Here is a 20,320-nt window from a genome sequence, read left to right on the forward strand (position 1 = left end):
GAACCAGGGAGGCAAAGGTTGCAGTGAGCCAAGATCGTGCCACTGCACTCCAGCCTGGGTGACAAAGCAAGACTCCATCTCAAAAAATAATGTTGTTATTGTACATAAATTATAACATAAATTCATGCACATAAACTCAATAAAGTTTATTAAGGACAAAAAGTAAACAGTAAATGAGATTCAACGGAGACATATGAATCTAGACACTTGGAAGAGGAAGTAATGTTGATATTGAATACAGGTAATTTTGAACAAAATTTTCAATACAATAACATTCTCACATCTTTTATTAACTAAAAAAGAAATGGAGCTACTTGAAATATTTTATTTTTTTTTTGAGACAGAGTCTCACTCTGTCGCCTAGGCTGGAATACAGTGGCATGATCTCGGCTCACTGCAACCTCTGCCTCCCGGGTTCAAGAAATTCTCCTGCCTCAGCCTCCAGAGTAGCTGGGACTACAGGTGCCCACCACCACGCCCGGCTAATTTTTGTATTTTTAGTAGAGACGGGGTTCCACCATGTTGGGCAGGCTGGTCTCGAACTCCTGACCTCAGGTGATCCTCCCGCCTCAACTTCCCAAAGTGCTGGGATTACAGGCGTGAGCCACGGCACCTGGCCTACTTGAAATATTTTACATATTAATTCACTTACAAGGTGGTTACCATCAGTTTGGTATTAATACAATAAAGAGGTTATCAATAAAAATTACTAGTGATGTTGAGCATTTTTCACATTTATCAGCCAGTTGATTTTTTTTTTTGAATTGCCTACTTGTGCCTTTTGCCAATTTTTCTATTAGATTGTTTTTCCTTCTTCATTTGTTTACAGGCCTATCTGCCTCATCAGCCTGGGAGTTCCACAGAGACAAGAACTGTATTTCATTTCTTTCTCTATCCCCAGCCTAGTACAGTGTCTGGTATTTAGTTCATGAAATGTTTGTTAAAATTGAATGGAATGAGGCCAGGTGCAGTGGCTCACGCCTGTAATCCCACCATTTTGGAAGGCCAAGGCTGGTGGATCATTAGATGTCAGGAATTTGAGACCAGCCTGGCCAACATGGTGAAACCCTATCTCTACTAAAAATACAAAAATTAGCCGGGCCTGGTGGCAAGCACCTGTAATCCCAGCTACTTGGGAGGCTGAGGCAGGAGAATCACTTGAACTCAGGAGGCGGATGTTGCAGTGAGCTGAGATCGAGCCACTGCACTCCAGCCTGGGCAACAAAGCGAGACTCCATCTCAAAAAAAAAATAAAATAAAATAAAATTAAATAAAATGAGACAAGTTATCGCTATGTTGCCCAGGCTGCTGATACTGAACTCCTGGCCTTGAGTGACCCTTCTGCCTCGGCCTCCCAAAGTGCTGGGACTACAGGTGTGTCACCATATGGATAGGTTGGCCTTGAACTCCTGACCTCAAGTGATCCACCTTGGCCTTTCAAAGTGTTGGGATTACAGGCGTGAGCCACCACGCCTGGCCCCTTGTCTCAATTAATCAAAAAAAGGCCTAGGCAACAGAACAAGACTCTGGGGAAAAAAAAATATATATGTATATATATATGTGTATATATATGTATATATATGTATATATGTGTATATATGTGTATATATATGTGTATATATATATATGTGTATATATATATGAATGGAATGATATTCTCATAACCCCTTGGAAACATTATTACTTCTGTTTAACAGATGAGGAATATAAGACAGAAGCTGAGTAATTTGCAGCCACACACTGCTAAATGGTAGCATTGGGACTGTAATCCGGGCCTTCTGATTCTTTTTAATTATTTGTATTAATTTTAATTTTATTTTATTTTTAAAGAGATGGAGTTTCGCTATGTTGCCCAGGGTGGTCTGGAACTCTCAGGCTCAGGTGATCCTCCTGCCTGGGTCTCCCAAAGGGCTGGGATTTCAGGCGTGCGCCGCCATGCCCTGCCGCAGGCTTTCCGATTCTGAACCATAGAGTCAATGAAACTGTCCTCCATCCCCTCCAGAGATGTTTGCCTGGACCCTGTTTTCCTCAGGATATCAATGAATAGTTCATGAGTTTAGTGAGCAAAGGTCAACCTCCATCAGGCGCATGCGTCCCTTCCTTTTCCCATGGAGGAAGAGACGCCTCTTTTCCTTCCGCTTTGCTTGTCTTTTGGCCCCGGCGACTCACCATCGTCAGTGCGCAACCGTTCGCTAACTGAAATGATGGCGACTGGAACGCCAGAGTCTCAAGCGCGGTTCGGTCAGTCCGTGAAGGGGCTTCTCACGGAGAAGGTGACCACCTGTGGTACTGACGTAATCGCGCTCACCAAGCAGGTGCTGAAAGGCTCCCGGAGCTCCGAGGTGAGCTGGAAGTGGACTCTCCCGGCCTGATAGTCCGGGGAGTCGCAGTCTTTCGTTGCTGTGGGAAGGAGGTCGCGTTGCATCTTGGGAATTGTAGGCTGTGAAGTACTTGCTATGAGTAGGTCTTCTTCGCGGAGGCGCGTGTTGCATTCTGGGGTGTGCAGTCTCTTTGGTTAGGGACAGTGTGTGAGGGTTGGGGGAAGAAGCGATGCCATGGGAACCTGTGCTTTAAAACAGCTCTTTGGGAGGCCGAGGCGGGCGGATCACCTGAGGTCGGGAGTTCGAAACTAGCCTGACAATCATGGAGAAACCCCCGTCTCTACTAAAAAATAATAATTAAAAAAATATATAGCCGAGCGTGGTGGCACATGCCTGTAATCCCAGTTACTTGGGAGGCTGAGGCAGGAGAATTGCTTGAACCTGGGAGGCGAATTATATATATAAGTATTATATATTACGTATTATATAATATATATACGTATATATTATATATAATGTGTATGTATATATTACATATATAATATACATATATATTATATATAATATATGTAATATATATTATATATATTTTCAACTAGAGGTGTTTATAGTTAACCACCTGTAAATATTCAACATATTCATCATAATAAACGTACATTTATTTAGCATTTTATATATGCTAGACACTGTTGTCTTTTATGGAGTTTAATTCATGAAGTCTTTAGAATGACTAATTGAAGGAAGTACTTTTCCTTTTTTTTTTTTTTTTTTGAGACGGAGTCTAGCTCTGTCGCCAGGCTGGAGTGTAGTGGTGTGATCTTGGCTCACTGCAACTTCCGCCTCCTGGGTTCAAGTGATTCTCCCGCCTCAGCCTCCTGAGTAGCTGGGATTACAGGCACGCACCACCACACCTGGCTATTTTTGTATTCTTAGTAGAGATGAGGTTTCACCATGTTGGCCAGGCTGGTCTCGAACTCTTGACCTCATGATCTGCCTGCATCAGCCTTCCAAAGTGCTGGGATTACAGGCGTGAGCCACCGCTCCTGGCAGCATTGCTTCTTGAGCAGTCTCCACATAGCTATTTTGTTTGATTAGCTGAGAATTTCATGTGTAAAAAACTCATTCCACAGTATTCATTTAACAAATACTTATTGGGTGTCTGCTATGTGCCAGGAACTGCTCTAGGTACACGGAATAAACAAAACTAAATCCCTCTACTTGGGAAGTTTACATTTTAGTGAAGAGACAGACGATAAACAAGTGAAACAGAAAAAAATCAGGTGGTGGTAAATCCTGTGAAGCAAAATTAATCTGGGAATAGAGAGTGATGAAAGGGTTAATCTTTGTTTGTTTGTTTGTTTTGAGACAGAGGAGGAGTCCCACTAGCTCTGTCACCCAGGCTAAAGTGCAGTGGCCCGATCTCGGGCTCACTGCAACCTCTGCCTCCTGGGTTCAAGCGATTCTCCTGCCTCAGCCTCCTGAGTAGCTGGGATTATAGGCGCCTGCCACCACACCCAGCTAATTTTTGTGTTTTTAGTAGAGATGGGGTTTCACCATGTTGGCCAGGCTGGTCTCAAACTCCTGACCTCAAGTGATCCTTCCCGCTTTGGCCCCCTAAAGTGCTGGGATTACAGGCATGAGCCACCACACCCGGTCGAAAGGGTTAATCTTAAACAGATGATCAGGGAAGGGGTCTCTGGGGAGAGAGCCTGTGAGGAGAAACACACTGACATTTGCCCACAGCATAATGAGTGGTTATGACTCATAGGCTTGTCTCTTGCATGCCTGCGCTTCTCCTCCTCCATTTGAGTTGTGTGCTTAGTGAGGGTCCATTGTGTTTTTTTCTAAACATCATGTGTCTGTGGGCTGGGCGCAGTGGCTCATGCCTGTAATCCTAACACTTTGGGAGGCCGAGGCAGGATTGCTTAAGCCCAGGGGTTCGAGACCAGCCTGGGCCACATAGTGATATCTTGTCTCTGTAAAAAAAGGAAAAAAAAAAAGAATGAAAACAATTTTTTAAATGTGTGTATGGCACTTATGCTTACAGTTGCAACTACGTAATTTAATGAAATAATACGAAAAATGAAATATGAGTACCAAAAAAGAGGGTTGCTATTGCTATGAAAACTAAGTTGAAAATCAGAAACACTTGTTGAAGATGAGTAGCTAAGACAAATTGTTATTGAGTTAATTATGAACAAGTTAATGGTAAAAGCCTAGGAGAAAAATTTATAGAAATCTAAAAAGATTCTGTAGTGAAGATTGTTTTACAGGTGTATTCAAGATGTTCTTCCATTTTAAAGAAAGCAAAACTAGAAATCTCAGATGGTATGTTATGTGTCTGGTCTGTTTATGTAGGAAAGTGATGCAGAATGCCAATGAATATATCAAGGAAAAGCCTTGGCTTTACATTACAACAGCCCCTGCCTTCAAGGCAACCACAACTCCCATTGAGTCTGTTTTCTAAATGTCTCACAAATCCTTTGTTTCTTTTTTTCTTGGCTACTTCTGTGTTTCAGGCCATCCTCATTCCTTGCTTAGAGTACTGCTGTGTCATCCTAACCAATCTCTCTGCCTCATTCCCCACTCTAGTCCACCTGCTTACCACATTTCTAAAACAGAAAAATGGATCATGCCATTTTTCTCTAGAATTACACACAAAGATGAATTCTAAACCCTAACTTTTAAGTCTCAGATTAGAAGTCACTTCTTTTAGGGACCTTTCCTGAACACCTACCCCTGTAATCAGTTAGACACTCCTGCCCCACTACATGCTCCCGGAGCAGCCAATGCTTCCCCATCAGCACTTACCATAAGGTGATGTAAGTGCCTATGTTCCCTTTGTAACCCCTCCAGATTCTGAGCCCCGTTATCACTCTTAACCAGAGTAAGGGCATATGTTAAACACTCAACAAATGTTTATTAAATGAGTAAGTGAATGAAGTAGATTGTTGGAACCCTTTTTTTTCTGCCATCGGTTTGTAAGTCACCATCTCCCATCTATAGGAGTTTGAAGTTTACCCTTAAAAGTAGCCACAGGAGGAACAGGTACTCTCATAATTGTTGGTGGGAATGCAAAGTGGTACAGCCCTAAAGGAGAGGAATTTGGCAATATGTAGCAAAATTAAAACCCCACAGTCACAAATCACAGTCCTGTGAGTCCATCCCAAACATATGCTGGCAAAAAGATGCAAAGATAGGAGATATTTGTAACAGTAAAAGCTATGAGATAAGATCCAAGATTTGAGAATTTTTTGTACCACTACTTACCGTGGCAAAAGACTGGGAACAGCCTCCAAATCCGTCAGCAGAGAACTGACTGAATAATGTTATGGTCACCTGTAGAGTGTGGTACTCTGCAGTTGTAAAAGAGCAATGGATTCATTAGGAGATAGCAATTGAATAGGAGATTCAATATGTATTGCTGCAGATAACCCTCAGGGATCTATTGCAAAGTGAAAACAGCAAGGTGTAGGCTGGGCACGGTGGCTCATGCTTATAATCCCAGCACTTTGGGAGGCTGAGGCAGGCAAATCACTTGAGCCCAGGAGTTTGAAACCAGCTTGGGCAACATGGCAAAACCCCATCTCTACAAAAAAATACAAAAAACTATCTGCGCATGGTGGCATGCACTTGTAGTCCCAGCTACTCTGGAGGCTAAGGTGGAAGGATCACCTGAGTCCGGGAGGTTGAGGCTTCAGTGAACAGTGATGGTGCCACTGCGCTCCAGCCTGGGTGACAGAGTGAGACCATGTCTCAAAAAAAAAAAAATATATATATATATAGAGAGAGAGAGCGAGCGAGAGAGAGAGAGAGAGAGAGCAAGGTGTAAACAAGTACACATAGTATGTTACATTTTAAGTAGGAAAGTGGTATGGAGGAAAATAAATACATGTGTCCATTGTTTAAAAAGGAACAATGGAAAGAAAACCACAAAGCTAATAAAAATAGTTATGCATGGGGCTGGGTGTAGGGGCTCATGCCTGTAATCCCAGTACTTTGGGAGGCTGAGGCGGGTGGATCACCTGAGGATGGGAGTTTGAGACCAGCCTGGCCAACACAGTGAAACCTCGTCTCTACTAAAAATATAAAAATTAGGTGAGCGTGGTGGCATGTACCTATAATCCCAGCTACTCAGGAGGCTGCTGCAGGAGAATCTCTTGAATCCAGGATGCGGAGGTTGCAGTGAGCCAAGATCGCATCACTGCACTCCAGCCTGGGTGACAGAGTGATACCCTGTTTCAAAAAAATGAAAATTAAAAAATAAAAAAATAGTTTTGCATATGGGGGAGAGAACAGGGAAAGAAAGGGACAGAGATGGAAAATCCTATTTTATTGTTTTGACTTTAGACATCCAGAAGGGGTTACTAACTTTAAAACTTTAAATAAAGTTGCCCTGTGTTGGGGAAGAAATCTGGCAATCCTAGTTACTTTGAAGTCACGCTACCCTTTTCACTAGAGTCTCCCTGACCCAAGAGAACAGGGAAGGGCCGGTAGGATACACATAACAGTAGCTCCTTTTACTTGGCTGAATTTAGGTATGCCAGGAGCAGGGTGCAGTATTAGGCCAGAAATCTCTGTTGGTCTCTGCTTGCCTCTCAGTGCTAATGTGGTCAGCTCTCCTTGACTGTAGACCATCCAGCCAAATCCAAGCTCTGCTTTTCTCTTTTGGACTCAGGACCCATTAAACTCAGTAACCTCATTAAATTCTGCCTGCACATTTCTCCTTTCTTTTCTTTTCTTTTTTTTTTTTTTGAGACAGAGTCTCACTCTGTTGCCAGGCTGGAGTGCAATGGTGCGATCTCGGCTCACTGCAACCTCTGCCTCCCAAGTTCAAGAGATTCTCCTGCCTCAGCCTCCTGAATAACTGGGATTACAGGCACGTGCCACCACGCCTGGCTAATTTTTGTAATTTTGGTAGAGGGGTTTTGCCATGTTGGCCAGGCTGGTCTTGAACTCCTGATCTCAGGTGATTGCCTGCCTCGGCCTCCGAAAGTGCTGGGATTACAGGTGTGAGCCACCGCACCTGGCCATCTCCTTTCTTTTCTTTTTCCCAGCCCTGTCTGGTCATCTTTTATGGGGTGGTTCCCCATTTTAAGCCCTGAGCTTCTCCTCATGGCTTCCCCACACCCCCCACTGTTTCTCTTATTCCATTTTTTTTTTCTTTTTTTTTTTTTGAGACAGGGTCTTGCTTTGTCGCCCAGGCTGGAGTACAGTGGTGAGATCTTGGCTCACTGCAACTTTCGCCTCCTGGGTTCAAGCAATTCTCCCACCTCAGCCTCCCAAGTAGCTGGGATTACAAGCGCAGCCACCATGCCCAGCTAACTTGTATTTTTCGGTAGAGATGCGGTTTCACCATGTTGCCCAGGCTGGTCTTAAACTCCTGACCTCAAGTGATCCACCCACCTTGGCCTCCCGAAGTGCTGAGATTACGGGCATGAGCCACCGCACCTGGCCTTCTCTTATTTCATTTCTAAATAGCTGTATTCCTCTGTCCTTTTCAGCCCCATTCTAACTCTTGCATCTTTACTACTTTCAAACAACCCCAAATCTCAAATCTGCCTTTAAAGAATTACGAGTCATGTTCTCTCACTGGACTTGTGGAGCCAAAGTTTTTTTGCAGACTTCTCTTAGCACTTAATGAATACACTGTGCCAACAGCCCAGCAGTTAGGAAGCACTTGATTTCTCAGGCAGTGGCCTTTGAAACAGATGTCGGGTCCATGCCAGAACTGCCATAGTGCCAATGAAATGAATTTTCAACATGAACAAATAGAAAATTATCCTTCATTACATTTTGAGTGTTTGTGGTTGTATAGGGTGGAGGAGTGGGAGAGGAGAGAGGGTAGTAGTGTAACAGCTGCAGAGAGAAGATTACAGGAAGTTTGGGAATTTTGATTATTACCATTTTATTTTTGTCTTCCAGCTGCTAGGTCAGGCAGCTCGAAACATGGTACTCCAGGAAGATGCCATCTTGCACTCAGAAGATGTAAGAAACAACTTTTTTTTTTAATGATTTGGGTTTATGTATATGGTTTGTGTGGCCACAGGGAAGTGGAAATGTTCTATTTCTCTCTCTCTTTTTTATGCAGAGTTTAAGGAAGATGGCAATAATAACAACACATCTTCAATACCAGTGAGTATGCCCCCTCCAGCAACTATTTGCTGCAGAATCATTATCCCTGGTCTGCTTTCATGGACTTTGTGCTTCAGCACTTTCCTGTGGAGGCCAGAGTGGGAGTAAAGGTGGGGGTGGCCAAGGATGACTTTCTCGATGGCAAAGATGCCTGAGACTACAGAAGAAGTGGGGGTAAAGGATGAGAATCAGGAGCAGAGTCCACCCTTTATGAACCTCCCCATGTTAAATTGAGGGCTCCTCAGAGAGAGACTATAAACCCTGTAAAGGCAGGGCCCGTGCCAGGACCATGCTAGCACTGTACTTGGCACCTGTGAGGCCGTTGATCAGTATTTGATGACTGACTGTGCCCAAGGTCTCTTCTGGGAAGTTAAGTTGGGTCCTCTACTAGGGAATGAAGTATAACATACCTGTATCCTACATGGTACATAGGTAAGTGTGGCACCTGCTACATATAAATCATGTAGGGAATTTTGAAATATAAGACCCCCTCTTTCTCCATTATAATTTGCTCTTCATCTTATTTCATGTTGTTTTATATTTTATGTACTTGATATTATACTTATGTACCTCTTAGAAATATATGGTTGGGGCTGGGCATGGTGGCTCACACCTGTAATCCCAGCACTTTGGGAGGCCGAGGAGGGCGGATCACCTGAGATCAGGGGTTCAAGACCAGCCTGGCCAACATGGTGAAACCCCGTCTCTACTAAAGATACAAAAAAGTAGCCGGGTGTGGTGGTGGGTGCCTGTAATCCCAGATACTCAGAAGGCTGAAGCATGAGAATTGCTTGAACCTGGGAGGTGGAGTTTGCAGTGAGTGGAGATTGCACCTCTGCACTCTAGCCAGGGTGACAAAAGTGAAACTCTGCCTCCAGAAAAAAAAAAAAAGAGGCTGGGCACAGTGGCTCATGCCTGTAATTCCAGCACTTTGGGAGGCTGAGGCAGGTGGATCACCTGAGGTCAGGAGTTCTAGATTAGCCTGGCCAACACGGCAAAACCCCGTCTCTACTAAAAATACAAAAATTAGCCGGGTGTGGTGGCACACACCTGTAATCCCAGCTACTCGGGAGGCTGAGGCAGGAGAACTGCTTGAGCCCGGGAGACGGAAATGGCAGTGAGCTGAGATCGGGCACCACTCCACTGCATCCTGGCGACAGAGTGAGACTCTGTCTCAAAAAAAAAACAAAAAAACAAAAACAAAAGCAAACAAACAAAATATATATATATGGTTAGGAATTTCACTCTTCGATATTTAAATAGCTAATGTTTGTCATAATCATTAGTCATTCTTTGGGTATCTACATATTAGGTATTAGGTATGTGACCATTTGATTCCATATACACAGACTAATTTTAAGCCATGCATGTAGTCTGTTGAACCACATTTCTCACTCTGGGAGAATGTTACTATCTGTTTGGGTTTAGATTCCATCTTTTCAGCAGCTCTGCACTCAGACAGGAATCCCTGTTCAATAGCACAATCTTAGGATAGGATGGACAGAAATACAGGATGTGACATAAGCTGAAATTTCTTCTGCCTATATGTATTATCTGGTCATAAATGAAACTTATTAGTTCACTTATGTGTATTTTCCTCTTTCCTTTTCTGATTTAGGCAAGAAGCTATTCAGAAGAAGTAAGTAACCCCAAAGGTAGAGGAGTAGGGAACCAACTGAAGCAGGCTGGGGGGATTTATACTGCTGGGTCCAGAATCAATACAAAACCCTGGTTGACACCTGCCCTCAAATTGAAATATGCTCTGGGATACTCACTTGGGATTTAAAGATACAGCATATTTCAAAGGTGTGCAGTAACTCAACTCACTGCTATTAATAGTAAAACTTTCTAAAAGTTATGGGGTATAGAGACCAACCTTAAGGAGTAGAAAACCTTTTACATTGGTAATATTCATTAAGCAGAGTAAATGTGCAAAAACCATTAAACAGCCTTGTTTTCTAAAATGGATTAAATTTGTCCCTTGCAACATTGTTTACATTACTAATTGGCTTTGCAAACCTTTCTTCAGAGTTTAAACACTTCTGGGACACAACTGGACCAATATAAATTTTGATTTACATGCAACAGTATTTATGCATTAAAGTACAGATAGCTTGTACAGGACAGGTGTAGTGGCTGGCTCATGCCTGTAATTGCAGGACTTTGGAAGGCTGAGGCTGGAGGATTGCTTGAGCCCAGAGTTTGAGATTGCCTTGTGCAGCATAGTGAGACCCTGTCTGTAATGGAAAAAAAAAATTTGTAAATAGTTGTACAAAGATGTCTTTATTATTGCTCATTTCAGATAAACCCTGTCTCTATTCTAATTCCTAGTGTTGAACAGTCATCGGATCTACAGGACCAGTTGAATCATCTGTTGAAATAGAATGACATGTAAGAGTGCTGTAGGACTCCTTTGCCTAATGCTGAGGAGTAAATACCTTACACAGCTGTCCTCTGGGTTTGGTTTTCTATTTTCTTCTCCAAAAGTTAAGTTAGAAAAGTTCTGTGTTAGGGCCGGGCGCGGTAGCTCACGCCTGTAATCCCAGCACTTTGGGAGGCCGAGGCGGGTGGATCACGAGGTCAGGAGTTCGAGACCAGCCTGGCCAAGATGGTGAAACCCCGTCTCTACTAAAAATACAAAGAATTAGCTGGGCGTGGTGGCGGGCGCCTGTAATCCCAGCTACTCGGGAAGCTGAGGCAAGAGAATCGCTTGAACCCAGGAGGTGGAGGTTGCAGTGAGCCAAGATCGCGCCACTGCACTCCAGCCTGGGCGACAGAGTGAGATTCCATCTCCAAAAAAAAAAAAAGAAAAAAAAAAGAAAAGTTCTGTGTTGATGTACAGTTTCTCCTAAGAAGAAGCGAGGTGGTTGAATTTTGGAAGCACTTCTTGAATCGGATTAACCCATGCTCTTATTGAATTTTTTCATCTGCTCTGTTTAGTTTGATATTAAAGCAAAATTAAGAGGTCTTAGTTTTTCCTATAGAACTTTTAATATGTCAAAAGCTATATTGTCTAAATTTCAGTACTTAAGCAAATACTGAGTAGTGTTTTAAATTCAGAAATAGAGCTTCTATTATGAACACATGAGAATGATTTTTTTCTCTTAATCATTATTAAGGAAATATTTTAATTTCATGGTCATATAATGGTGATAAGTAATACCTGATTGTTTCCTTTTCTGTTCTAGTAACTCAGAGGAGATACGTGTTTTATTTGTGATAGCAAATTCCTAAATGAACATTAGGCAAGTGGTATCATTATCAGGCCAGCTGCAGCCTCTTGCCTTGACCTGCATTCCTAGAATTTCTTTGTTGCTGTAATTCTTGATTAAGTGACCTTGACTTTCATTTTGTAATTTTGCTAATCATCAGCAAATTCACTTGCATGACGTTACTGCCAAATATGAAGGCAGTTGAATTATTATGAGTGATTGTGGCAGAGGTTTGTGCCATGGTGAAAACTTTGATGTTTGTCTGTGTTCATTGGATCCATCTTTTTAAATGACATTACCATGAGTCTGTTGTCAAACCTAAATATCTTTGTTTGAATTTAAAATGGGACTCTATATTGTTGTAGTTCAGGTCTTCATTGACTAAGAGATTGAGAGAAATCTGACATAAGAAAATATTGTTTTCACTGCAGGAATAAAGAGGAAGTAACAGTGAATCCAATATAGTTCATATTGTTATTGTCCAATCATCAAGTTAACTAAGCATTATCAGATTACGTTTATTTCTCATACATATGGATATTAACTTAAGGTAAAAAAGCTGGATGTGAAGGATCTGAAAAGGCATTAATTTATGTACTAATTCTATAAACATGTATTAATAATTGCAGTATTATTAAATACAGATGGACTCAATGTACCTTTGAAAAGACCACTAATTTAGAAAACAAAGCTAAGTGCAGTCATTACAAGAAGCAAAGAAATACTTAAGTTAGAAAAAAATTAAAATGAAGGGATGGTCTAAGTTTTCTTCATGCTGGAACAAATGTTAAAGAAGCAGTGATTGCTTACAATGTATGTGATAAAATAATACCTTTCACAATCAAAATTTTAATAGTAAATATAAGATAAAATTTATATTAAATAATGAAAACGTATTTGTACTGAATTTAGTCACTAGAGAACATCGTAACAAAATACATGAAACAAAAGTAGCCAGAAATGTTAGAACAGGTGGAAATGTATACATTATTTGATGGTTTGTTTTTTTATGGAAATAAACAACATACATAGAATTAAATGGTGATCAAAAACATGGAAAAAATACTTCACTAAATAACGTCTAAGTTGTAGAGGTTGTGCCGGAAGATAATATTTTTAAAATAACAAATGTTCAAATGCCATAAAAGAAAATTTGTGTGATAATACCAAAGCAGTACTATAAGAAAATAAGCATGCTTTAAATCCCTGTATTAGGGATAGAGTGGAAATATTTTTGTTTTTTTTAAGGGGTATATAGTTAGAATTTAGAAAGAATGGAAATGGAAATAATAAAACTAAACAAATTAGAAAAAAATAACAAATTAGAAAAAATAAAAAGTATTAAGTAGTTCTTGTAGATTAAATGGGTAAAGTGTCAGCTCAGCCAGAAAAGTACAAATTAGTAAATTCGTAATTGAATAGGCAATACATAAAATCAATGAGATTTGAAAAGAGTTATCAGTTTGCTGCAAAAAATGTGATTAATATATGCCCAGCTCCTTATAAAGATAAAAAATTATGAAACTGACACTTTTAACAGAGAATATTCCAGATTGGTTATGAGAAATAACCCACAAACTAAGAATAACCAATTAAAATGGCATTTGCTTGTGAAAGCTTTCATGAGACTTTTCCAAACTGTCAAAGAACATATACTCCTGGCCGGGTGTGGTGGCTCACGCCTGTAATCCCACCACTTTGGGAGGCCGAGGCAGGCGGATCACAGAGTCAGGAGTTCGAGACCAGCCTGGCCAACATGGTGAAACCCCGTCTCTACTTAAAAAATACAAAAATTAACCAGGCATGGTGGCACATGCCTGTAATCCCAGCTACTCAGGAGGCTGAGACAGGAGAATTGCTTGAACCCAGGAGGCAGAGGTTGCAGTGAGCCGAGATCGAGCCACTGCACTCCAGCCTGGGTGGCAGAGCAAGACTCCATCTCAAAAAACAAAACAAAACAAAACAAAAAACCCCTATACTCCCAAAATATAGAAAATGATCATAAGACACTAATTCATTTAATGAAGTAAACAGGATTTTCATTTTAAAAATAAAATTATGTAAGAAAGATGATGCAAGAGGATGTAAGATAATGTAGGTGATTTTTTTATGAGTATAGATGCAAAAATCCGAATAAAATCTTAGAAAACTGAATAGAGAAATATTTTGAATAATTGTTCATGTAACTCCAGAATTTCAAAGTTGATGTAATAGTTACAAAACACATTACATTAATAAGAAATAATAAAATCTTTTGTCACTATAATATATACCAAAAAGGCATTTAAAATACACTTTCTATTTCAAAAAAACTAAAAGAATTTTTTAAAAGGGTATGTTTTAAAACCCAACATAATATTTGATGAAGAAGAGTCGTATAAAACCCCAGAATATTAGAGCTGTATGGGGCCTTAAAAGTTATTAAATTCTGGCCCCATGTTTTACAGATGAAAAAAACACAGCCAGGAAGATGAAATGACTTACCCAAGGTCACTGAGCTTGATGGTAGGTCTTTTGACTACTAGTCTGGCTCTATTACCTGTTAGTTTCCTTATGCATAGAAACAAGGGTGCCACCTTCATTACTAGTCTTCAACATAATACTAAAGAGCTCTTAGAAAAGGAAAGGATCTTGAAGTAGCTGAATCCAATCCATTTGCCCCTGCTTCTGCATCTCAGGTGAGCCATCATCCAGTCATTCATCTGCTTCTGCTTCCGATATTTGGGGAATCCTTTACTTAGGAGTGCTGATCCTTTTGGAAATCTCCACTTCTTGAAAGATGGTTCTGTGTAATTAACCAAAATCTGCCTTTCTGGATAATCCTGGAATTGTCACTCCAGTAGCTTCCAAGATAGAATGTGTGACGGTGTGCACAGGCCTCTGTTAAAGGGTAGGGGAGAAAATTTCTATGTATGTTAGTTTTTTATCTTAAAAAAATTAGCTTTTGTGAGGCTGGGCGTGGTGGCTCACGCCTGTAATCCCAGCACTTTGGGAGGCCGAGGCGGGCAGATCACGAGGTCTGGAGATTGAGACCGTCCTGGCTAACACAGTGAAACCCCGTCTCTACTAAAAATACAAAAAATTAGCTGGGCGTGGTGGCGGGCGCCTGTAGTCCCAGCTATTCGGGAGGTGAGGCAGTAGAATGGCATGAACCCGGGAGGCGGAGCTTGCAGTGAGCTGAGATCCTGCCACTGCACTCCAGCCTGGGTGACAGAGCGAGACTCTGTCTCAAAAAAATAAAAAAGCTTTTGCCAATATTTAAAATATGACTTGATGTGAGAGTCTTAATTTCTTCTACGCAGTATACAGATATATAGCATTCCTGTCATTTAGCAGGGGTGATAGTAAAACAAAAAAACAAAAAACCCCACAAAACCTGTGGTGAGGCACTGACCAATCAGAATGATTGATGGTCACAGTCTGGTCCAAAATTAGCCCCCACACCAGACACCATGGAGGAAAAGTGAGAGTAACTCAATTTAAGTTGACAGTGGTTTGTTTTATTGCAGTTTATCTGTGTGTGAATAGGTAGATTTAAGGATTGTTGGCCAGGTGTGGTGGCTCACACCTGGAATCCCAGCACTTTTAGGAGGCAGAGGCAGGCGGATCACTTGAGATCAGGAGTTCGAGACAGCCTGGCCAACATGGTGAAACCCTGTCTCTACTAAAAATACAAATTAGCCAGGCATGGTAGTGCATGCCTGTAATTCCAGCTACTTGGGAGGCTGAGGCAGGAGAATCGCTTGAACCGGGGAGGCAGAGGTTGCAGTGAGCCGAGATTGCGCCATTGCGCTCCAGCTTGGGCAACAAGAGCGAAACTCTGTCTCAAAAAAAAAAAAAAAAAAAAAGGATTGTCAAATGATTCTTGTAAGTAAACCATAAATTAAAGATAACAAAACAAGCACAAGAGAAAAATGATACAGCCCTTTCCTTGACCTCTCACTAATCTGCCCTTTTAAGATAAAGATATCATTTTAACTATGAGAAGGTAACTGCTTTTCTAAAGGAGCTCATTTTATGAAGATAATATTTTGAAAACTAATATTTAGGAGTGTTTTCACCATTCTATGATTGCCCAAAAACTAAGTGATACTTATAAAAACACTAAGTTTTATACATATACTAGTTGGAAATATTCCAAGCTGTAGAAATATTCCAACAAGGATTATTTCCATGGGGTTAATTTGTTAAAAATATAAAAGACACCACCTTTCTATTAATTTGTAACAACTAATTGACATCAGAGAAGATGAAAATTTACTAGCTGGATATCAACCAGATTTTTGTATTATTGGCAACTGAGATTGAAAAATGAATGAAAGAGTCTACTTCATCCATTTAGATATCCTTTCACTTGGATCTCCCTGTTTCCTTACTGTCCTAATGAATAGAAATGATCGTTACAAGCTGGGCATGGTGGCTTGCACCTGTAGTCCCAGCTACTGGGGAGGCTGAGGAGGGAGGATGGCTTGAGGCCAGAGTTGAAGGATCCAGAGATGATTGCGCAGTGACGCTAAGCTTGGGCCACAGAGTTGAGACCCTGTCTCTAAAAATTTTTTTTTAATTTAAATTATAAAAAGAGAAATGCTTGTTACAACCACAAAGGGAAACAAGATATACACATATAATTGTGGAAGTAAAAATAAATAATTTAAAAATACTTTTGGGTGCTCGCTTCGGCAGCACATATAGTTGGAATGATAGAGAAGATTTGCATGGCCCCTGCGCAAGATGACATACAAATTCGTGAAGTGTTCCATATTTAAAAAAACAAAAAATACTTTTGGGCCTGGCACTGTGGCTCATGCCTGTAATCCAAACACTTTGGGAGGCTGAGGCGGGCGGATTGCTTGAACCCAGGAGTTGGAGACCAGCCTGGACAACATGGTGAAATCCCGTCTCTATAAAAAAATACAAAAATTAACCAGGTGTGGTGGTGCACGCCTGTAATCCAAGGTACTTGGGAGGCTGAGGCGGGAGGATCGCTTGAGCCAGGAGGTTGGGCCTGGGTAACAGAGACCGTCTCAAAAAAATTTAAAAATTAAAAAAAAAACTTTCTGCAAGATGAAGTGACAATACCTGGAAAATACATGTGACTTGACCAAAAATTACTATAGGTGAAAATAAATTTAGCAAAGTTGCTTTCCTAAATACAACCCAAAATAGACTGGGAACAGCTACATACTGTTAATGGTTCCCTCTATGTGACATTCTAGAAAAGGCAGAACTATAGGGAGGGAAAACATCTGTGGTTGCCCAGGAGCTAGGGGTGGGAAGAGGGAATTTACTACAAAGAGGCACGAAGAAACTTGTGGGCCAGAGCTATTTTGGTCTCCGTTTTGGTGATGTATATACGTTTGCCAGAGTTCACAGAACTGCACACTGAAGAAAGATGGATTTCACGGAATGTGAATTATATCTCAACAAACTTGACTTCAAAAAACAGATCGAGAAAAGATGATTCTATTCCCAAAAAGGGGGAGGGGGGAAGATCATTATATAGGTGAGTGTTCATTTAAATCAGAGTACGAGATTTATCCGTGAAAATCGCAGTGGAGCGAACAAGGGGGATGCTGATACCGACCTCCTGGTTGGAAAGCCTGTAGAGCAGCGCGGATGACAGTGGAACAGCGGGTCAGGCGGTGGGCGCCTGAGCGAGGGGCTAGAGCGGGATGGGCGGGCGGAGCAAGCCTGCCAGCCTGGGCGGGGCCTCGGCACAGGAGCTGGCTGCGGGAGCCCGCCGTCCTGAGTCGCAGGCCGAGGAGACAGTGAGTGCGCGCCCTGAGTCGCAGGCCGAGGAGACAGTGAGTGCGCGCCCTGAGTCGCAGGCCGAGGAGACAGTGAGTGCGCGCCCTGGGCGCCCCGCCCCAGCCCCCAGCCCCTTCCCTGGGCCCCCGCAAGGCGGGAACGCGAGCGCCTCCCCCGAGCTGTGTCTCGAGACCTTTGTCCTCCCCTCACCCCTCGGCCCGCTGCCTGCCCTTTACTGGCCCCCTCCCTCATGCCCGTCCCTCAGCACCCTCTCCTTTCAACTAACTTTCCCGCTCCCGACAGTGGCTGCACTTCGTGACGCTGAGATACAGAAGGACGTGCAGGTGAGAGCTGTAGGGCCTGGAATGGCCCAAGTGGAGCCTAGGCTAATGGAAGTCTGGCCTGGCCCGCACCCTGTCCCCCGGGACTCCTGGAGTCGGGGTAGGGCAGGGTCTAGGCTTCGACCTTTCCAGGGAACTGAGGTCGGCCAAGTGGAGGTGGAGGTGGTGACGGAGCCCTCGCGCTGCAGTCACAGCTCTTCTCCCTCTCTACCCCTCACTCCACTGTGGGACGCTGGGTCAGACCTACTACGGGCAGGTGCTGAAGAGATCGGCAGACCTCCAGACCAACGGCTGTGTCACCACAGCCAGGCCGGTCCCCAAGCACATCCGGGAAGCCTTGCAAAATGTACACGAAGAAGTAGCCCTAAGGTAGAGTGCCCTGTGCTGTCCCCAGGAAGACCCCAAACAGCAGTTTTCCCAAAAGATAATGATGCAGGTCACTAGGGAATTAACCCGTAGCCACCAACCCATCAGCTTGCCTTGTCTATTGTAAAAATCCTAAATCTCAGCACCCATCATCTTACTGCTCTAAGAACCTCCGATGAGTCTGGGCGCGCCAGTGAGCCTGTAGTCCCAAGTGCTTGGGAGGCTGAGGCAGAGGATCGCGTGAGCCCAGAAGTTACAGGCTGTAGTGTGCGATCCGGGATGTGAATAGCCACTGCACTCCAGCTTGGTCAACATAGCCAGATGCATCTCTAAAATAAATGCGTACTTTAAAAAAATTGCCTAAAAAAAAGAACCTCCAGCGTGAACACTCTGTAGTCCCTACCCATGCTCACAGAATACAGTCACACTCACTGGATCTGCCATTCAAGATATGCGCAGTTCAGCACCCACTAATCAACCTTGGCCCTTTTGACCCTTCCCTTCCTCACTCCATCAGCACTGCCTGCCCAGCCGGCAGTCACCAATTTGGAAGGTCTTCCCTTTTCTTTTTCCTTCCCAACCCTGCGCATCCAGCACCACGCTGCTGTCCCACCTACTGCATGGAGCCTTCTCTAATCCTTGAGCGGCCTCTTCCCCAAACTGCCACAGCACTCTGTCACTCGGTCTGTCCGTAAATCACGGGAAGTGTTTTCTGTGCACGATGTTTTATCTCGCCTCTCAAATACACCTACGCGGCGGGGAGCGGTGGCTCACGTCCGTCATCCCAGAACTTGGGAGGCCAAGGCAGGTAGATCACTTGAGGTCAGAAGTTCAAGACCGACCTGGTCAACATAGTGAAACCCTGTCTCTACTGAAAATACAAAAATTAGCTGGGTGTAGTGGGGCACGCCTGTAGTCCCAGCTACTTGGGAGGCTGAGGGAGGAGAATCACTTGAACGTGGAAGGCGGAGGTCGCAGTGAGCGGAGATTGTGCCACTGCACTCCAGCCTGGGCAACAGAGAAAAACTCAGTCAAAACAAAACAAAACAAAAAAAAGGCCGGGGGTGGTGGCTTATGTCTGTAATCCCAGCACTTTGGGAGGCCGAGGCGGGAGGATCACGAGGCCAGGAGATCGAGACCATCCTGGCTATCATGGTGAAACCCCGTCTCTACTAAAAATACAAAAATATTATCCGGGTGTGGCGGCACGCGCCTGTAGTTCCGGCTGCTGGGGAGGCTGAGGCAGGAGAACGGCGTGAACCCGGGAGGCGGAGCTTGCAGTGAGCTGAGTTCGAGCCACTGCACTCCAGCCTGGGTGACAGGGCAAGACTCCGTCTCAAAAAAAAAAAAAAAAAAAAAAAAAAAAAAAATTAGCCAGGAGTGGTGGCAGGCGCTCGTAGTCCTAGCTACTCGGGAGGCTGAGGTAGGAGAATGGTGTCAACCCGGGAGGCGGAGCTTGCGGTGAGCTGAGATCGCGCCACTGCACTCCAGCCTGGGCGACAGAGCGAGACTCCGTCTCAAACAAAACAAAACAAAACAAAACAAAACAAATCAAAACAAAAAACGCCTATGGGACAGAAACCTTACATTTTTTCCTCAATAACTAGCGCAGTCCTGGGCCTGAATTAGAAGCTCAGCTAATGATTAAATGTATTTATTCAACACATTATTTTATTTTATTTATTTATTTTTGAGACGGAGTCTCACTCTGTCCCTTAGGCTGGAGTGCAGTGGCGCCATCTCTGCTCACTGCAACCTCTGCCTCCTGGGTTCAAGCCATTCTCCTGCCTCAGCCTCCCGAGGAGCTGGGATTACAGGTACCTGCTACCGTGCCCAGCTGATTTTTTGGTATTTTTAGTAGAGACAGGGTTTCACTATGTTGGCCAGGCTGGTCTCCAACTCCTTGCCTCAAGCGATCCGCCTGCCTTGACCTCCCAAAGTGCTGTGATTATAGGCGTGAGCCACCGCGCCCAGCCTGAACACATTATTTTAGATGGCTTATGAAGTCTTAGTGCCTAGCACATGCCCAACAATACTGTGGTAAAGCAGATACAGTCCCAGCCTTCATGGGTGTCCAGTTCAGTGGAGACTAAACATCAGAAGTATGAGTGAATGATGCAAGAAAGAAGGAAGGAAGGAAGGAACGGAGGGAGGGAGGGAGGAGGGAAGTATGTATAAGATTTAGTGGTTTCATGTC

General features: G+C 43.2%; 2 protein-coding genes, 1 long non-coding RNA gene and 1 pseudogene across 4 annotated transcripts in view, besides 6 other annotated features; all 4 read left to right on the forward strand.

Moving 5' to 3' along the window:
- Nucleotides 1,694-2,207: an enhancer, noted in NCBI's record as "H3K27ac hESC enhancer chr10:104613536-104614049 (GRCh37/hg19 assembly coordinates)". NCBI's record gives its function as "activates a minimal SCP1, AML or CMV promoter by ChIP-STARR-seq in naive H9 embryonic stem cells {active_cell/tissue: H9 hESC(naive)}" and the evidence as "EXISTENCE:reporter gene assay evidence [ECO:0000049][PMID:30033119]".
- BORCS7-ASMT (BORCS7-ASMT readthrough (NMD candidate)) overlaps nucleotides 2,125-20,320 on the forward strand; it is a 47,690-nt gene continuing 29,494 nt past the window's right edge. The window contains exons 1-7 of the long non-coding RNA NR_037644.1: nucleotides 2,125-2,342; nucleotides 8,247-8,309; nucleotides 8,413-8,456; nucleotides 10,075-10,095; nucleotides 10,788-10,847; nucleotides 17,720-17,760; nucleotides 17,999-18,126. This is a non-coding gene — a long non-coding RNA (BORCS7-ASMT readthrough (NMD candidate)). The remainder of the gene's footprint in view (nucleotides 2,343-8,246; nucleotides 8,310-8,412; nucleotides 8,457-10,074; nucleotides 10,096-10,787; nucleotides 10,848-17,719; nucleotides 17,761-17,998; nucleotides 18,127-20,320) is intronic.
- On the forward strand, nucleotides 2,174-12,876 carry BORCS7 (BLOC-1 related complex subunit 7). 2 transcript variants are annotated; one of them, NM_144591.5, is made up of 6 exons: nucleotides 2,174-2,342; nucleotides 8,247-8,309; nucleotides 8,413-8,456; nucleotides 10,075-10,095; nucleotides 10,788-10,847; nucleotides 11,645-12,834. In NM_144591.5, exons 1-5 carry the CDS (start codon nucleotides 2,202-2,204, stop codon nucleotides 10,837-10,839), a joined length of 321 nt encoding a protein of 106 aa, NP_653192.2. In that variant the 5' UTR covers nucleotides 2,174-2,201; the 3' UTR covers nucleotides 10,840-10,847; nucleotides 11,645-12,834. The 2 variants fall into 2 exon arrangements, with proteins under 2 accessions (NP_653192.2, NP_001129672.1); NM_001136200.2 differs by having other exon boundaries at nucleotides 10,788-12,876.
- Nucleotides 2,190-2,249: an enhancer, noted in NCBI's record as "active region_3951". NCBI's record gives its function as "activates an Ori minimal core promoter by ATAC-STARR-seq in GM12878 lymphoblastoid cells {active_cell/tissue: GM12878}" and the evidence as "EXISTENCE:reporter gene assay evidence [ECO:0000049][PMID:35858748]".
- Nucleotides 2,190-2,720: a biological region, named in NCBI's record as "H3K27ac hESC enhancer GRCh37_chr10:104614050-104614562".
- Nucleotides 2,208-2,720: an enhancer, noted in NCBI's record as "H3K27ac hESC enhancer chr10:104614050-104614562 (GRCh37/hg19 assembly coordinates)". NCBI's record gives its function as "activates a minimal SCP1, AML or CMV promoter by ChIP-STARR-seq in naive H9 embryonic stem cells {active_cell/tissue: H9 hESC(naive)}" and the evidence as "EXISTENCE:reporter gene assay evidence [ECO:0000049][PMID:30033119]".
- Nucleotides 2,320-2,509: an enhancer, noted in NCBI's record as "active region_3952". NCBI's record gives its function as "activates an Ori minimal core promoter by ATAC-STARR-seq in GM12878 lymphoblastoid cells {active_cell/tissue: GM12878}" and the evidence as "EXISTENCE:reporter gene assay evidence [ECO:0000049][PMID:35858748]".
- Nucleotides 3,517-4,489: an enhancer, noted in NCBI's record as "H3K27ac hESC enhancer chr10:104615359-104616331 (GRCh37/hg19 assembly coordinates)". NCBI's record gives its function as "activates a minimal SCP1, AML or CMV promoter by ChIP-STARR-seq in primed H9 embryonic stem cells {active_cell/tissue: H9 hESC(primed)}" and the evidence as "EXISTENCE:reporter gene assay evidence [ECO:0000049][PMID:30033119]".
- LOC124902567 (uncharacterized) lies at nucleotides 16,336-16,434 on the forward strand (annotated as a pseudogene).
- The window catches only part of AS3MT (arsenite methyltransferase), a 32,430-nt gene continuing 29,494 nt past the window's right edge, over nucleotides 17,385-20,320 (forward strand). Inside the window, exons 1-3 of the mRNA NM_020682.4 lie at nucleotides 17,385-17,508; nucleotides 17,720-17,760; nucleotides 17,999-18,126. Of these exons, the coding sequence (NP_065733.2) occupies nucleotide 17,508; nucleotides 17,720-17,760; nucleotides 17,999-18,126 (170 nt within the window). The 5' untranslated portion in view covers nucleotides 17,385-17,507. The remainder of the gene's footprint in view (nucleotides 17,509-17,719; nucleotides 17,761-17,998; nucleotides 18,127-20,320) is intronic.

The sequence above is a fragment of the Homo sapiens genome, chromosome 10 (assembly GCF_000001405.40).
Source record: "Homo sapiens chromosome 10, GRCh38.p14 Primary Assembly".
NCBI lineage: Eukaryota > Metazoa > Chordata > Mammalia > Primates > Hominidae > Homo > Homo sapiens.

What these genes read in the sequence shown, in the direction of transcription:
- BORCS7 (NM_001136200.2), top strand. Translation starts at nt 2,202, where the DNA reads ATGATGGCGACTGGAACGCCAGAGTCTCAAGCGCGGTTCGGTCAGTCC. An exon ending in CCATCTTGCACTCAGAAGAT is followed by an intron (nt 8,310 to 8,412) that starts GTAAGAAACAAC and finishes TTTTTTATGCAG; the next exon opens with AGTTTAAGGAAGATGGCAAT. An exon ending in CAAGAAGCTATTCAGAAGAA is followed by an intron (nt 10,096 to 10,787) that starts GTAAGTAACCCC and finishes TCTAATTCCTAG; the next exon opens with TGTTGAACAGTCATCGGATC.